Source organism: Homo sapiens, chromosome 15, assembly GCF_000001405.40.
Source record: "Homo sapiens chromosome 15, GRCh38.p14 Primary Assembly".
NCBI lineage: Eukaryota > Metazoa > Chordata > Mammalia > Primates > Hominidae > Homo > Homo sapiens.
The window spans coordinates 69,369,062-69,386,165 of NC_000015.10; the positions used below are offsets into that span (position 1 = coordinate 69,369,062).

The following is a 17,104-nucleotide window of genomic DNA, read 5'->3' on the forward strand; positions in this document are numbered from 1 at the left end:
TGCCCAGCCTGTTCTTTTCAAATTGGCTTGTTTCCTGTTTATCTTTATTTCTTTAAATATATTAAACACAGTTATTTTATATTTTAATATTTGTTCTTTGATCTCTATCTCTGCCGTCTACTGTTTCTGCTGTTTCTCACTCATGGTGTTTTCTTTCCCTATGTGTGCATGCCTGTGTTAAAGTAGAAATCCGGCTGGGTGTGGTGGCTCACGCCTGTAATCCCAACACTTTGGGAGGCCAAGGCAGGTGGATCACCTGAGGTCAGGAGTTCGAAACCAGCCTGACCAACATGGTGAAACCCTGTCTCTACTAAAAGTACAAAAATTAGCAGAGCCTGGTGGCATGTGCCTGTAATCCCAGCTACTCAAGAGGCTGAGGCAGAAGAATAGCTGGAACTCAGGAGGCAGAGGTTGCAGTAAGCCAAGATAACACCAATGCACTCCAGCCTGGGTGACAGAGCAAGATCCTGCCTCAAGTTAAAAAAAAAAAAAAGTAGAAATCCTTCAGAGAGGATTTGTGTTTGCTTTTGTTACTTACCTGAGGGAACTACAAAATTTTAACCTCTTTCTATTTGTAATCACTTTAATTTTTTCACTTGAGATTTCCTGGACCACAAAAATAGTAGGGGCATGGACCACAAACCTATATGAAGACTAGCTGATGGTTATGAATTTTGGGAGAGATTTTTTTTTTTTTCAGAGAAACAACTTTCCTTATCGTCCTCTTCTGGCTGGTTGAATTTATTTCACACTCACTTATCTTTAGACTCCTAGCTTTATTGGCAAAGTCTCGTATTAGATTCCCTGCCTTTGGTGGGCCTTGGGTTTCATCTCTTGTTTACAAAATCTGGCAGCAGAGACTCTGATGGTGAATGCAGCTTACCTCACAGGGTTCCTGGTTTCCCTCTGTTTTGGGGCTTTGTGACTTCTTTACTTTTGTGTGATTTTTGCTGATACACTGGCTTATGATGCATACTCCAGACAGCATATTAATTGCATTAATCAGAAAGATCCTTCATAACATCTAATCGACCATCATTCGGCCAGAACTGGAGTGCCCCAGCCATTCTTCCATGACAGCATTTCTATAAAACATGTTTGTAGCAATCCTTGGTTCCACCAGCTGGGTGCTGTGAAGCACACAGGAGTTTTGCAGTTTAAGACTAGGGTTTGCATCTTGGTTCTGCTATTTATTATGGCCTTGGGAACTTCGTCTCACTGAGCTGCAGTTTTCTTATTTGTAAAATGGGTCGACAGTCCTTGTCTTGCCATGCTCTCATGATGAACAAAAGAAACCAGACCTGCCCTTAACAGATGCTAAGTCTGAATAAGGAGGACAAATGCAGGCCATAGGCTATATGTCTAAATACTTAAAAGTTATAAATGAAGCCAACAAACAGTTATGTAAAGTGGTTCTATTCTACCTTAACAAATCCCCCTTTATTTTATTATTTACTTATTTATTTATTTATTTTGAGACAGAGTTTCGCTCTTGTTGCCCAGGCTGGAGTGGAATGGCGCGATCTTGGCTCACTGCAACATCTGCCTCCCAGGTTCAAGCGATTCTCCTGCCTCAGCCTCCCGAGTAGCTGGGATTACAGGCACCTGCCACCACGCCTGGCTAATTTTTTGTATTTTTAGTAGAGGCAGAGTTTCACCGTGTTAGCCAGGATGGTCTCAATCTCCTGACCTCAGGTGATCCACCCGCCTTGGCCTCCCAAAGTGCTGGGATTACAGGAGTGAACCACTGTGCCAGGCCTGACAAATGCCCCTTTATAAGGACAGAAAAAGTGAAACTCTGATTTTTATATAGCTAAAGTCAGCAAAATATGAAAAAGAACTGAGTTTAATTATTATCGCACATGTCTAAATGTTACATTGATGAATTACTTATGTTTGAAAGAGTAATAAAACAAAAACATGCATAATTTATAAATTATTACGTGTTTATTCCATATAATTTATTTTATTTCTTCATTTCAGCAAAGTTGAGTTATAGTGTTGTAATCGACATTATCATATAATTTGTGGTCTATTGACAATGATGTTAAATTAAACCACTATTCCTGAGTCATTGTAGTTCTTAGTTTTGTTTCTTAAATTAATTTCATTTAGGAGAAACTTCTGCTGAGATTCCATTCAGTTTTATTGAGGTAGAACAGCTGGAATTACAAAAAAATAATTCTTAAGTCCACATTTTGAATCAGAAATGAATTATACATTTTTTCTTTTTTTAATTGAAGCCAGTTTGAGCAAGAAAATTATAAATTTTTCATATGAAGTTCAAACATTGTAATGAGGCTGCAGCATATGATAATTATATTAAGCAGAAAAATTATTAAATATTTTAATTCCATATAGATTACCATCTCATCGTGCTATCTTTACTCCCTCAAAGTAATATCTAGATTAGTATTCATCTATTTTATTAAGAAAAGTATATTAGAAAGAGATAATATAAAGAAAACTGAAAACAGTAGGGTTTTACTTAGTCAAAATTACACCTCAGTCTACAGTGTCCGGAGAAATAATCCCTACAGAAGTTAATTTCAGGATGATTTGTACGTGAATCTTCTCTTCACAGTCCAGAGACATTTTTGTTTCCTTTTTTGGATTTTATCTGATTGGAAAGTCACCTTTATTATGCATTTTATGTGCGACTCCTTTGGTTTAGAAAAGTCCTATACATATTTAAAATAATAAATACGTATTTTTAATCCCTTTAAAAATGGAATAGCCAAACCTAGATTTTTTTGTAGGCTTTTGCTAACATTATCTCATAACAAATATCAGTTGAGAGCTCAAATTCAAAATTGATGTTATTTCCTATGAAAAATAGAATTTTCTGTTACACTGATTTCTTCTCATCGTCCTATATCTTACCTAAATCAAATCTAAGCGTTTAACAGCATGGATTTGTTATTCTCATTGTGTGAATGAGAGGAGTTAAGGTCAAATTTGGTATGTGTTTCAGCAAGATGTCCCATTTGAGAGAAGATTCAGAGAATGTCATACATAATCTTTGAACTATTCCATAGAAAATCTAATTGACAGCCTAATCAATTTTAGTAAGCAATTCAAACCATGTGCTACCACACCCAGCACTAAGAATACTTTCAAGCCACCTTACATGTTCGGCCAGAAGAAATTTACCATTGTCTTCTGTAAATATTGTGCTGCACGTAAAAAAAGCATTCTTTGGCCAGGCGCGGTGGCTCATGCCTGTAATCCCAGCACTTTGGGAAACCAACACAGGTGGATCACTTGAGGTCAGGAGTTCAAGACCAGCCTGGCCAACATGGTGAAACCCCATCTCTACTAAAAATACAAAATTCACTGGGCATGGTGGCACATGCCTGTAATTCCAGCTACTCAGGAGGATGAGGCAGGAGAATCACTTGAATTCGGGAGATAGAGGTTGCAGTGAGCCAAGATCGTGCCACTGCACTCCACCCTGGGTGACAGAGTGAGACTCTGTCTCAAACAAAACAAAACAAAACAAAAAGCATTCTTATGCTTGACTGAATATTGAACACATTATTTTTTGAAAACCATCACACCACTGTTGTAAGTTGGCATTTTCCTGTAATTGTTTCATACCAGCAATGGCTGGCTATTAATTCAGCCTATTTAAAGTTCTAGTAATTGCATGTGTGTTGTGTGTAAGCGATGTTTTATGTTCTTTTAATTGAAAGCCCAATCACTTCTCCTAGTAAGCAATTCAAACCACATGCCACCATACTTAGCACTAAGAGTACTTCTGGATTTTCGGTGAAATTCTGATCTTGCATTAGTTTTCTGTTACTGCTGTAACAAATTACCACAAACTCAGTGGCTCAAAAAACAAACAAACAAATATATGATCTTACAGTCCTGTAGGTTACAAGTCTGACATGGGTCTCACTGGGTAAAATCTAGGCTTTGGTGGATGCTGTTGGGGAGAATGTCTCCTTACCTTTTCAGCTCCTAGAGGCTGCCTGCTCTCCTTGGCTCCTGGCCCCTTCCTCCATCTTCACATCAGCAATGTTGCATCTCTCTGACCTTATTCCATAGTCACTTTTTCCTCTGAGTCTCTTCTTCTGCCTCCATCTTCCATTTTTAAGGACCTTTTGATTATACTGGGCCGACCTCGGTAAACAGAGAATCTCCCTATTTTAAGGTCAGTGGATTAGCAACTTTAATTTCACCTGGGACGTTGCTGCCCCTTTGCTGTGTAACCTAATAACCTAATATATTCACTGGTTCTGGCAATTAGGATGTGAACATTTTTGGGGAGCCATTATTCTGTCTACTGTAGAGTTAGCAACCATGTTATACTATTATCACAAGCTTGCCTATGGCAGCTTTTGAAATCAATGCCTAAAACTGAAAATAGTTTTTCTACTTCTTAAATCAAAGACTGCATTTTTACAACAAATGTAAAACCAGCGGAATTGCTCTGTTATTTCAACTTTCTTACTTTCTTCTGCTGTAGATCAATACGTCTATAATGCTAGTCATTCAATGGGACTTTTCTTCTCTAGCACACACTACCTGAGTTCTGTTTACTTTTCTTTTTTCGAGTCAGAGTCTCGCTTTGTTGACCAGGCTGGAGTGCAATGGCACAATCTCGGCTTACTGCAACCTCTGCCTCCCAGGTTCAAGTGATTCTTCTGCTTCAACCTCCAGAGTAGCTGGGACTACAGGCACGCTCTATCATGTCCCACTAATTTTTGTAGTTTTAGTAGAGATGAGGTTTCACTATGTTGGCCAGACTGGTCTCGAACTCCTGACCTCAAGTGATCTGCCCACCTCAGTCTCCTAAAGTGCTGAGATTACAGGTGTGAGCCACTGTGCCCAGTGCTATTTACTTTTTAAAAACATTTTGTGTATCTTTTTTTACTTTATTGTCCATTAAATTATTAATACTCTTTGGTTCCTCCATCCCTGATATTCATCATTTATTTCATTAATTTTTATCCGTCTTACATGTTCAGCCAGAAGAGACTTCTTCTGTAAATATTATACTGCATGTACAAAAAGCATTCTTATGCTTGACTGAATATTGGACATGTATTTTTAAAAAACATCACAGCAATGTTGTAAATTGGCATTTTCTTGTAATGGTTTCATATCAACAATGGTTGGTTATTAATTCAGCCTATTTAAAGTTCTAGTAATTGCATGTGTGTGGTGTGCAATTGTTGTTTTATGCTCTTTTAATTGAGAGCCTAAGTATTTCTGTCCTATGGGAACTAAGCATGGTCCTGCAAGGGATGTGGCATACTGTCCAACCTAGAGCCTGGTGCACCGCAGGTACCCAGGAAATGATAGGTTATAATTGCTGCAGCAAGGCCGGGCACAGTGGCTCACGTCTGTAATCCCAGCATTTTGGGAGGCCAAGGCTGGTGGATCACCTGAGATCAGGGGTTTGAGACCAGCCTGACCAACATGTTGAAACCCTATCTCTACTAAAAATACAAAAATTTAGCTGGGCATAGTGGCATGTGCCTGTAATCCCAGCTACTCAGGAGGCTGAGGCATGAGAATCACTTGAACCCAGGAGGCAGAGCTTGCAGGGAGCCGAGATCGCGCCACTGCACTCCAGCCTGGGCAACAGAGTGAGACTCTGTCTCAATAATAATAATGATAATTGCTGCATCAATGCATGGCCTCCCCCTTTTCCCTCCCATTCTTCCCCTGCCCTCTGCCAGCAAACACCTCATCAGACTCCCCGCTAGCCTCTAACTATTCCCTGTCCTGGCTTTCCCTGTCACCATGTCCCTCTTACATACAAGGAACTTCCTCTTCTGTAGGGAACTGGATTCTGGGCAGGGAGGTGACAGCACGATGCTGGGGTGGGAGTCCGGCTTTGAAGCCAGAGGCAGTTGCAGCATCAGCAGGCCCTGGGAGCTGGTTAGAACTGCAGACTCTCGCCCCAGCCACCACACTGCAGTAAGGTGCCCAGGTGATCTGCACACACTTGCAGAAGAAAGTTTCAGAGGCACTGGCTTGCATAACCTCACCGCTCATATTAGTTTGCTAGGGCTGCCATAACAAAATACCACAGACTGAGTGGTCTAAACAACAGAAAGTTATTTTCTCGCAGTTCCGGAGACTGAAAGGTGTTCAAGATCAAGGTTTGGACAGGGGCAGTTTCCTCCAAAGCCTCTCTCCTTGGCTTACAGATGGCCACTCTCTTGCTGCCTCTGCACAGAGTCACCACTCTGTGGGTGCTCATCCCTGGTGTCTCTCTGTGAATTCAAATTTCCCCTTCTTGTGAGGGACACCAGGCAGATTGGATTAGGACCCACCCTAATGGCCTCTTGAAAGATCTTATCTCCGAATGCAGTTGCATCTGAGGTCCTGGAGGTTAGGACTTTAACTTAACAGATGAATTTTGGGAGGGACACAGTTGCCTCCCAGATTTAGTTCATAATGGCACTTTAACGAAGAAGAATCTAAGGCTCAGAGAAGTATGTCACAGTCCAAAATCATAGTACAGGCCAGGCGATAAGGGTTTTATCTCTCGACAGAGCCCTCCCCAGGCGGAGCAATGAAGGACAGTGCACAAGAGGACAGGAAATGGAGTGTGCTGTTTGCATTGAGGTTTCAGCTTTGCTTCCGTTACTTTTGAGAACTTGAATAAATGCCCTAACCTCTCCAGGCCTCAGTTTCCTTTTCTGTGAAATGAGACAATAAAAGGCTCTTCCTCACAAGCTGGTTGTGAGGATTCCGTGAGCAGGAATTGCAGAATTCATGTGAATAGCGCCTGAGGTCCCCTGATCCTACTCTGCCTCTTCTCTTTCCCTGCTATCCAAATCTGCCATTATTTACTGCTGGCCAAAAATGCCCAGTGATTTTCCCCAGGTGGTTTGCAGTTTAATAGCTAGAAAAACCAAAGGCTTGAAACTGTCACGGTAGAATTGTAGGCATTGGCTAGCAGGTGCATGCAAGTCTTGGCCATGCAAGAAGGCTTTCCTGGATGCTGAGCTTGAGGCAGGAACTGAAAGGGAAAACTTGCTGATGTGCCCTTCTGCTCCTAGTTCCTGGAGGTTCTCTCTTCTAAATAGGCTGCATATGATTTGATTTCATTTCACTCTAAATTGCTCAGCCTGCAACTAGGGGTGCAAGGTGGAGTCCTACAAATCAATTCTGCTGTGCAAATAAGCAGGCACCTGCTTACTTGGGGGTGCTTAGAAATGAGGCCAAGCTACGAAGTGTTGAGGAAATGATTGCAGTTTTCCTTTGGGGTCAAACTGGGTTTAGAATACAAAATTGTCTTCAAATATTAGTTTGTCCTTTCAATGTATGTACCATGCGTTTTATGAAGGTCTGCTCTATGCAAAACACTTTGCTAAGGCTAGAGTGGGAAGACGGAGAGAATGTTTCTTCTTTCCTGTGCTCACAGGAGCTCAGAGCAGGAGTGCAACTAAGACCTAGTAATAGGGTTCCATAGACAGAGGTTCAAGTTGGGGAGGGCAGGGCAGGTCAGTCCTCTTAGTCTAAGCTGGAACATCATTGTCCTGGGACAGAGGGACTCCTTTTATTATCCTGTATCCGTCCATTTATTTTTTTGGAAAGGCTGCTTTAAATCTTGCCCCTATTACGTGGCCAATATTGGGCTTCCCATCCTTGTCTGGGGTCAGCATAGCAGGTCAGATGGAGGCAGGTTTTTTTAATCTGGGCTCAGCCCTGGCTTTGGTGGCAAAATATCCTCCCCAGGTCTGGGGCCAGATTCCTAAATGAGGTCAAGTTGTCCAATGTATGGATTTCCCTTCTGTTCCCCGCTGGCTTTTGACGACGTCAGTCCCCCTAGTTTTGCCTGCCAGAATGCCAGGATCCACAGAGAGAAGGGAAGTAGTCACAAACTGTGAGTGGCCTTTTCCTCTAGCTTCTGTCCAGCCACTGCCACTGTGGCTGTCACGGGGTCTGTGCTCTCCTGCAGCCCTACCCAGCCTTCTCCCTGCAGGTCACCGCCCCCACATGTCCAGTGCTCTGAAATGTTTCTGCTCTCACTGGTCCCTTGTCACAAAGTCTCTTGGTTTATAGGATCTGCTAGTCTAATTCATATGAATGAGTAAATAATGATTAATGGAGTCTGCATTGGAACCAGTGGCCAGTGCTTTAATTAATAATTATAAAACAACAACTTAAAAGGAAGAGAGAAAGAAGCTTGAAAGGTAGAAGGATAGACCCAGTGTGGAGCTCCTGGGAGCTGTTATTTCTGCTAGAAGGCTTTCCGAGTCCTGCCAAGCACGTGCCGTCCTCCTCCACAGGATCAAAGGCTGAAGGCCATTGGCCTATTTGCCTCCTTGTCATCAGCCTTAGTGGGGTGGAAATCTGCAACTCAAGATTCCTGCTGCCCGTTACAGGAATCTGTCCACCATAAACCGGGGATGTCAGCAGAATTGAATGGTGAATCAAAAACTGGAACAAATCATTTTAATTACCTAAGACCCAAACCTAATTCACAGTATTTCTTCACTAGACCATGAATCAACTTCATTTTATCCCCTCCCTCTAGTTGAGCAGTTCAACCCAGAACTGAACTAAGAGTTGTCTAAAACTTGGAGCTACTGCTGGAAGGGAATGTGCTGACCATTCAGCTAGCCAAGCCCTCTCATTTTACACAGAGGCCCTGAGAGCTGTGACCCAGGGCTTCAGCTGCACTTAAACGCTTCACTTTTCTCAAGGCCACATGGCACCTCGGGGACCCAGATTTGACTCATTACTCTGGCAGCCCCTCACCTTCTGCACTGTTCCATGTGACTGCTTGACTTGGAACCCCAAGAAATAGCACAAGGCTGGGCACAATGGCTCACACCTCTAATCCCGGCACTTTAGGAGGCCAAGATGGGAGAATCACTTGAGCCCAGGAGTTCAAGATGAGTCTGGGCATCATAGTGAGACCCTGTCTCTGCAAAAAATAAAAAATTAGGCTGGGCGTGGTAGCTCATGCCTGTAATCCCAGCACTTTGGGAGCCCGAGGTGGGTGGATCATTTAAGGTCAGGAGTTTGAGACCAGTCTGGGCAACATGATGAAACCCTGTCTCTACTAGTAATACAAAAAATTAGTCGGGCATTGTGGCATGCGCTTGTAATCCCCGCTACCCGAGGGGGCTGAGGCAGGAGAATCGCTTGAACCCAGGAGGCAGAGGTTTCAGTGAGCCAAGATAACAACACTGCACTCCAGCCTGGGCAACAAAATGAGACTCCATCTTAAAAAAAAAAAAAAAAAAAAAAAAAATTAGCTGACCATGGTGGCACTCCTGTAGTTCCAGCTACTCAGGTGGCTGAGGTGGGAGGATCATTTGAGCCAGGAGTTTGAGGCTGCAGTAAGCCATGATTGCACCACTGTACTCCAGCCTGGGCTTCAGATCAAGACCCTGTCTCAAAAAAAAAAAAAAAAAAAAAAAGAGAGAGAGAGATAGCACAGACTCTGGTATATATTGTACATTTTTTTAACAGAGAACCTCTCTTACACTAAGAAATTGATACCCCAAATGAGAAATGGGTGGCTAGATTGAAGTTCCTCTAGCCTTCCCCTCACAGCCCTAGAAATTCAAAGGAGAGGGTTTGCAACTTATTGTGACCTGATTTAGATTATGATTACTAATATTATCATTGTTATTATTTGCTTCAATTACCCTACTCATTTATAATTTACGTTTCAAAGGGTATGGCAACATTTATCTAAATCAGTGGTCCTTACCTGGGGGCGATTTTTGCCCCCAGGGGACATCTGACAATATCTGGAGACATTTCTGTTTGTCACAACTTGGGGGGTAGGGTGCTGACAGTGTGAGCTAGTGGCATTTAGCGGATAAAGGCCATGGATGCTGTGAAAGGACTCACAGGTTGGCCCCCACAACAAACAATGATCTGGCCCAAAGTGTCAATAGTGTCAAAATTGAGAACCCTTGGTCTAAATCAACACAGAAGGGGAAAACAGGTCTCCTGCAATCCTGCTACCTCAACAAATTAAACACTTCACTTTTCTATGTTCCTCCCAGCCTCTGCCCCATGGTGTAAACTTCATTTTCCCAAGCTCTTCTAACCATGGCAGGAATATAGTTTAAATTCCACATTTCTTCACTTATTATTGTATCCTGGGCTGTTGTGCCTCTGGCCTCATTATCTTCTCACTTACCACTTTTAGTGGATGTAATACAATACTCCAGGCAGGTTGATACCCCATATTTCACCTGACCAGTCCGGGTTTCTCAGTGGGTGTTTTTTGGGGGGGACTTGCCAAATGGGCTGCATGGGGGTGGGGGTGACTTGAGCAGCCGTGCTGTGGGCAGCCACCTCCTCTTCCTGCAGCCCAGGCATCAGCATCGTGGTCCTCATCATCAAAAGCCCTTTATGAAGCACCTTGGTGAATATATCCTGGCACCGGGGGCATCTTCTGCAGAGTTCTTCCCACCAGCCCCTGACATGCAGGGCTTGCCAGCTCAGACAGACAGCATCTGTGTCAGCTCACCAAAAAGGCGTCCAAAAACTGGGCTGTAGGCCCCAGGCAGAGGGGTGAGAAAACGGATTCTTAGGCAAGATTCATGCCAAGAGTAAGTACGCCGGGGAATGCAAAGACAGGCTGGATTCCCAAAGGGAGCCTGGCCCTTGAATTCCCTCCCCCAGCTAGCTGGAGGCTTCTTGGAGGACAAGGGATTTTAGAAGCTACTGCGAGGGAAGGAGAGAGTGAGGGGAACAGCTTAACAGGTTAAGGACTTGGGGTCAAGCGTTCCAGGCACACAGAGCACGGCCTGGAAGATGTTTCTCCAGAGACCTTCGTGCCACCCTCTGGTCTCACCTCAGTGTCCTTTTCCTTTGCCTCTGCAGGTGTTCCATGAGCAAGGCATCCTGTTCGGCTACCGCCATCCACAGAGTTCTGCCACTGCCTGCATCCTCAGCCTTTTCCAAATGACCAATGAGACTCTCAACATTTGGACTCACTTGCTGCCCTTCTGGTACCTTCTGGCCCCCTCGACCGGCCTGTCTCCTTCAGGAGCCCTGGAGACCAGGGTGTCTTAAAACATGGCTAGTGTTGAGAGGGCTGAGATTCTGTGCTGGGGTTTGGGGATCCCCCGTGGGTACACGCGGGTGAAGGGAGTGTGTGACAGAGGGAAGAGACATTGGGTGTGCCACTGGGATGACCTTTAAGGCATGGACTGGGGTAAGATTTGAGGGGAAATCCCAAAAGTGCCTCAGTCCTTCCTGCTCCCTGCTCCGGTGCCTGATATGATAGCATTTACCTTCATCTCCGGTCTTGGAGACTTTCCAGGTCTTCCAGGAGCCCTGGTTAAAATGTCACTAGTTTGAGCAAGTCAACCTCTCTGAGCCTCTCATTTTCCTACCTGCAAAGCAGGAGTGATGGTCCGCACCTCCCCAAGGGTTGCTGTGAGGGTTTGGGGAGAAAACATTGGTAGAGGCATCTGCCACAGAGTTGTGGGTGTTCCGTAATCATTCTGGGAACCACGACAACTGGGAGGCACTTGGTCAGGCAGCCTGTAGATGGAGCCAGCTAAGAGCAAAGCTCTGGGAAGCCTGTATGCAGAAATGGAAGTGGCCAGGGAAGCGAAGAGGGGCCTTGCTGAGAAAGGTGGGGGATGAAGGCCAATGTCACACACTGCACACCTTTGCTTAAGGAATGGAGGATGGAGACAGGGTCAAAGCACCAAATCACAGTGGATCTGAGCTGGAAGAACTCAGAGGCCATTCAAGCCACTGTCCCACTCAGACCACCACTGGTCGATGTAGACACAGCCGAGAGACGGGGTGGCGTCCTTACGTCATGCAGGGGCGCCGTGGCACAGGCTGGTCACTGGACTCCCTCCAGTCATGTTGAGAAGAGATGAGGAGTGTGCCATGAGTGGAGATGGGCCCAGGCTCCCCGCACAGGGGCAGCCAGCCTGAGTAGAAGTCAGATGACAGACCCGGGGCCAAAATGCAGGGGCAGGCTGTTTGGTTCCAGCAGCCAGCTCAGTGGAGAGGGGAGAGAGCTCAGTCTGGTGTGGACTAGGGTGATCTGTAAAGGAGTGTGGCAGCCCTGGGCCTGCGGACTGGGCAGGGGTGGCAGCACAGCCCTGCTCCAGGGGCCATTTGTCATTTTTAAAAGTATACATGCTTACAAATTATAACCCTTCAGAAGGGAATAGAGTCAGGCTCTGCCACTGGCCCCAGTTCTCCTCCCTGGAGTGGCCAGGGGGACCTGCTTCCTATGCGTCCTCCTGGAGCTTTTCTGGGGGACCCAGGAGCATCTGTGCTGTGAGCATCCACAGCATCTGCCTCTTTCCCTGCTGCCTTCCTCTTACTTCCCTCCCTTGGAGATCTCACTCTGTCAGCATCTGCAATCTGCATGTCTCCTGGACTTTGGAACATCTGCTTGGTGTTCCATTTTCTGGATGAATCATGGTTGATTTAGGCTGTTTTGAGATTTGAGCTGCTAAAAGGGTACCAGCCTGTCCATCCCTGCTTGTGGGTCTTGCACTCCATGCATGGATCCCTGTAGGGTGATTTTTTGCTATGTTACAGCTGAGCCAAGCTGGGTGAGCCGCACCCCCATCACCTCCAGCACTGCCTATGCACTTCTACACGGTGCCAGGCTCTCAGAGATGATCCTGACTGAGCAACAGAGAGTAGCAGGAAGGACTTGGGGAGGTCTGGATCAAGATGCCCTAAGGAAATGGGACCACTGAAAAATTGAAATAACTGAAGGATACATTTTGAGAAACAGCAAATAGCTTAAGCTTTACTTCCCGCTGGGACAAAATTAAAAAGTCCACAAGTGTAGCTGGAAGGATTTAGCAATGTTCCTTCAGCTCCTGCATATGAAAAGCTTTGTAGAGTCTCCTCCCTTGGAGGAGTTAGTGAGAAAGGGAGCCAGCTCTCTAGGAGTGATTTGTGGAAGCGAGGTGCTCTGCAGGCGGGACCTCATGCGTGGATTGTAGGCCAGGCAGACCTGGTGAAGAATTTTGAAGTGTCTCTGCATAGAGATCTAGGCTCTGCTAAGAGTCAGCTGTGGGACTAGCTATTCCGAAAAGTGATTGTACTCTTAGTGGAGGAACAGTGTGGAGGAGGAGGGAGAAAATAGTTCTCTTGGCCTCGGCTTGCAAGGCTCCACCTGGGGCATTGCTTCTATTTGAGGAGCCTTCCTACAAGAGGGACATAGACAAACTACATGGAGGAAGGACAAACCACGGGGATGGTGGTAACGCCACATTTAGATCCTGCGAGGAATGGCTGAAGGAACCGGGAGTATTTAATGTGAAGTTCAAGGAGGTGGGAGGGGGTTAGAAAGACTGCCTTGAAATATTTGACAGGCGGCCGGGCGCAGTGGCTTATGCCTATAATCCCAGTACTCTGGGAGGCTGAGGCAGGCAGACCACAAGGTCAGGAGATCGAGACCATCCTGGCCAACATGGTGAAACGCTGTCTCTACTAAAAATACAAAAGTTAGCCAGGCGTGGTGGAGGGTGCCTGTAGTCCCAGCTACTTGGGAGGCTGAGACAGGAGAATCACTTGAACCCAGGAGGCAGAGGTTGCAGAGAGCCGAGATCGTGCCACTGCACTCCAGCCTGGTGACAGAGCAAGACTCTGTCTCAAAAAAAAAAAAAAGCATATATATATATATATATATATATATATATATATATATATATATATGTATGTATGTATATATGTATGTATATGTGTATATATATATGTGTGTATATATATGTGTATATATATGTGACCATATATATATATATATATATGACCATATATATATATATATATATATATATATATATATATATATATGCATATGTTAAGCTTGTTTTCTATGATCCTGGTGGAGGGAACTAAGGCCAATCAAATGGAGATAGATTCCAGGAGGACAGATTTGAGCCAATGAAGGAGAACTTTCCAGCCCTTGGAGCTGCTTTGGGAGGTAATGAGCCCCCCATCCCTGGAAGCATGCAAGCTGAGGCTGGAGAATCACTAGGGGATTGGACTAGATATACATAAAGCCTCTCTTCTTACTTCACCTGCCCATTCCCAACGTACTGCCTCCCAATTAAAAAAGGACCCCCCACCTTCCTAGCACATGGTATTTCCCCAAAGTGAGAACACGAAGGAATTAGTCACCGCGGGGGAATGGAGACAGTAGATAGGCGAGGATCTAAGAGGGGCTTCCATCATGGAGGGTGAGCAGGTCCTCCATGTTCATCATGGAGGGTGAGCGGCCCTGCGTGCTCATGGTGGAGGGTGAGCGGGCCCTCCGTGCTCATGGTGGAGGGTGAGCGGGCCCTCCGTGCTCATGGTGGAGGGTGAGTGGGCCTTTGTGTACATGGTGGAGGGTGACTGGCCCTCTGTGTTCATCGTGGAGGGTGAGTGGGCCCTCCGTGCTCATGGTGGAGGGTGAGCGGGCCCTCTGTGCTCATGGTGGAGGGTGAGTGGGCCTTTGTGTTCATGGTGGAGGGTGACTGGCCCTCTGTGTTCATCGTGGAGGGTGAGCGGGCCCTCTGTATTCATGGTGGAGGGTTAGTGGGCCTCTGTGCTCATGGTGGAGGGTGAGTGGGCCTTTGTGTTCATGGTGGAGGGTGAGTGGCCCTCTGTGTTCATCGTGGAGGGTGAGCGGGCCCTCTGTATTCATGGTGGAGGGTGAGTGGGCCTCTGTGCTCATGGTGGAGGGTGAGTGGGCCTCTGTGCTCATGGTGGAGGGTGAGTGGGCCTCTGTGCTCATGGTGGAGGGTGAGTGGGCCTTTGTGTTCATGGTGGAGGGTGAGTGGGCCTTTGTGTTCATGGTGGAGGGTGAGTGGGCCTTTGTGTTCATGGTGGAGGGTGAGTGGGCCTTTGTGTTCATGGTGGAGGGTGAGTGGGCCTTTGTGTTCATGGTGGAGGGTGAGTGGGCCTTTGTGTTCATGGTGGAGGGTGAGTGGCCCTCTGTGTTCATCGTGGAGGGTGAGCGGGCCCTCTGTATTCATGGTGGAGGGTGAGTGGGCCTCTGTGCTCATGGTGGAGGGTGAGTGGGCCTCTGTGCTCATGGTGGAGGGTAAACGGGGCCTCTGTGCTCATGGTGGAGGGTGAGTGGGCCTCTGTGCTCATGGTGGAGGGTGAGTGGGCCTCTGTGCTCATGGTGGAGGGTGAGCGGGGCCTCTGTTTTCACGGTGGAGGGTGAGCGGGGGCCCTCCGTGTTCATGGTGGAGGGTGTGTGGGCCTCTGTGTTCGTGGTGGAGGGTGAGTGGGCCTCTGTGTTCGTGGTGGAGGGTGAGTGGGCCCTCCGTGGGTGAGTGGGCCCTCCGTGTTCATCGCGGAGGGTGAGTGGGCCCTCCGTGTTCATGGTGGAGGGTGAGCGGGTCCTCCGTGTTCATGGTGGAGGGTGAGCGGGCCCTCCGTGTTCATGGTGGAGGGTGAGCGGGCCCTCCGTGTTCATGGTGGAGGGTGAGTGGGCCCTCCGTGTTCATGGTGGAGGGTGAGTGGGCCCTCCGTGTTCATGGTGGAGGGTGAGTGGGCCCTCCGTGTTCATCATGGAGGGTGAGCGGGCCCTCCGTGTTCATGGTGGAAGGTGAGCGGGTCCTCTGTGTTCATGGTGGAGGGTGAGCGGGCCCTCTGTGTTCATGGTGGAGGGTGAGTGAGCCCTCTGTGTTCCAGGTTCTTTGCATGGAGGTTTGTGACTGCACTGTATATGACAGACATCAAGAATGACAGCTACTCCTGGCCCATGCTTGTGTACATGTGCACCAGCTGCGTGTACCCACTTGTGTCCAGCTGTGCGCACACCTTCAGCTCTATGTCCAAGAATGCCCGGCACATTTGCTACTTCCTGGACTATGGTGCCGTCAACCTCTTCAGCCTGGGTATGTGAGGCCTTGTTCTTGCTTTCCTTCCCCTGCAACCGGGCTGTTTGCCCCTTCTCCTGTGAGCTAGGGTCACCAGAAGGCTTTGATGAGTTTGCAGAAGAATCCAGGGATTATGCCAGTGCCCCTGTCCAGGTTCCCAATGGGTGTTTTATAAGAAACTGTCCATAAGCATGCTGCTAAATATTTAGCCACTGGCTCTGTGGGGACAACAGCCCCGATCTGCAGTGTTGCCAGTTTCTGTGGTGTAAATCTTCCCATCATGTCCAGCTTCAACCTACTAACATGACATCACAGAACACAAGGGTGGGAAGAGATATGCGTAGCACACTATTACAGAAATTCCACCATGCAGATACAGTAGATGTAGTCATTGAGTACTCAGTACTTTTGTTAATATGATTTATTTAATTGCAAGTTTCTGTGATTTAATTTTTAATGATGGCTGTGTTCAGCACTCAGCTCTCTCACAGGCCAGAATGAACTGACTCCAGTACATCAGTGCTGGTCTCTGTCATGCCAGGCAAGAAGAGGAGGGTGAGGTCATGAGCCTCGTATATCCAGAGGCTTAGCACAATCAGAGAGATGCTCAGAGTGTGCGGGAATAGATCAGCAACCTAAGCTGGTGAAATTCGGTGCTGACCGCCCCCTCTTCCTTGTCTTTTTCTTTGACTATGATGCTCCCTCCTCTGGCCTCTTCTCTCCTCCCCTTGTGGGCATGCATCTATCCCTAAGGATATGAGTTCTAGATTCTTCCTCCAGGTCCCATTCTAGGTGAGAAAACCAATTATTGTCTTCCTTGCCCAAGAGGTTGTCCATGAGGAGCCTACCTCCATCCTCTTTCTTCATATACACACGTTCACACTCACACAAACACACACTCATGCACTGACACACACTGACACACACACATACAATGCACTCACACATGCACATACACACACTCACCACATATACACAATACACTTACATGCACACACACACACCACATGCCACATGTACTCACACATTGACACACACACAATACACTCACATACACACACTCACACCACATACACACAATACACTCACATGCACACTCTCAAACACTACACACACACACCACCCATACTGACACACACTACACTCACATAAACACACATCACATACACACAATACACTCACATGCACATACACATACTCTCAGACCCTCCACACACACTCACATCCACATACGCACCACACATGCTGACATATACACACAATACACTCACATACACACTCACACCACATACACACTCACA

General features: G+C 46.5%; 1 protein-coding gene across 20 annotated transcripts in view, besides 1 other annotated feature; it reads left to right on the forward strand.

Moving 5' to 3' along the window:
* The window catches only part of PAQR5 (progestin and adipoQ receptor family member 5), a 108,869-nt gene that overhangs the window by 70,150 nt on the left and 21,615 nt on the right, over positions 1–17,104 (forward strand). For 15 of the 20 annotated variants that reach the window (XM_047432749.1, XM_047432747.1, XM_047432748.1 and 12 more), the window contains 2 exons: positions 10,822–10,949; positions 15,616–15,821. In XM_047432749.1, the coding sequence (XP_047288705.1) occupies positions 10,822–10,949; positions 15,616–15,821 (334 nt within the window). Of the gene's footprint in view, positions 1–10,394; positions 10,548–10,821; positions 10,950–15,615; positions 15,822–17,104 lie in introns of those variants that run through there. The other 5 variants (XM_047432751.1, XM_047432750.1, XM_011521725.3 and 2 more) reach the window with 3 other exon arrangements.
* Positions 12,428–12,609: a silencer, noted in NCBI's record as "fragment chr15:69673828-69674009 (GRCh37/hg19 assembly coordinates)". NCBI's record gives its function as "represses an EF-1alpha promoter that drives an FKBP-Casp9 reporter gene in an ReSE screen in HepG2 liver carcinoma cells {active_cell/tissue: HepG2}" and the evidence as "EXISTENCE:reporter gene assay evidence [ECO:0000049][PMID:32094911]".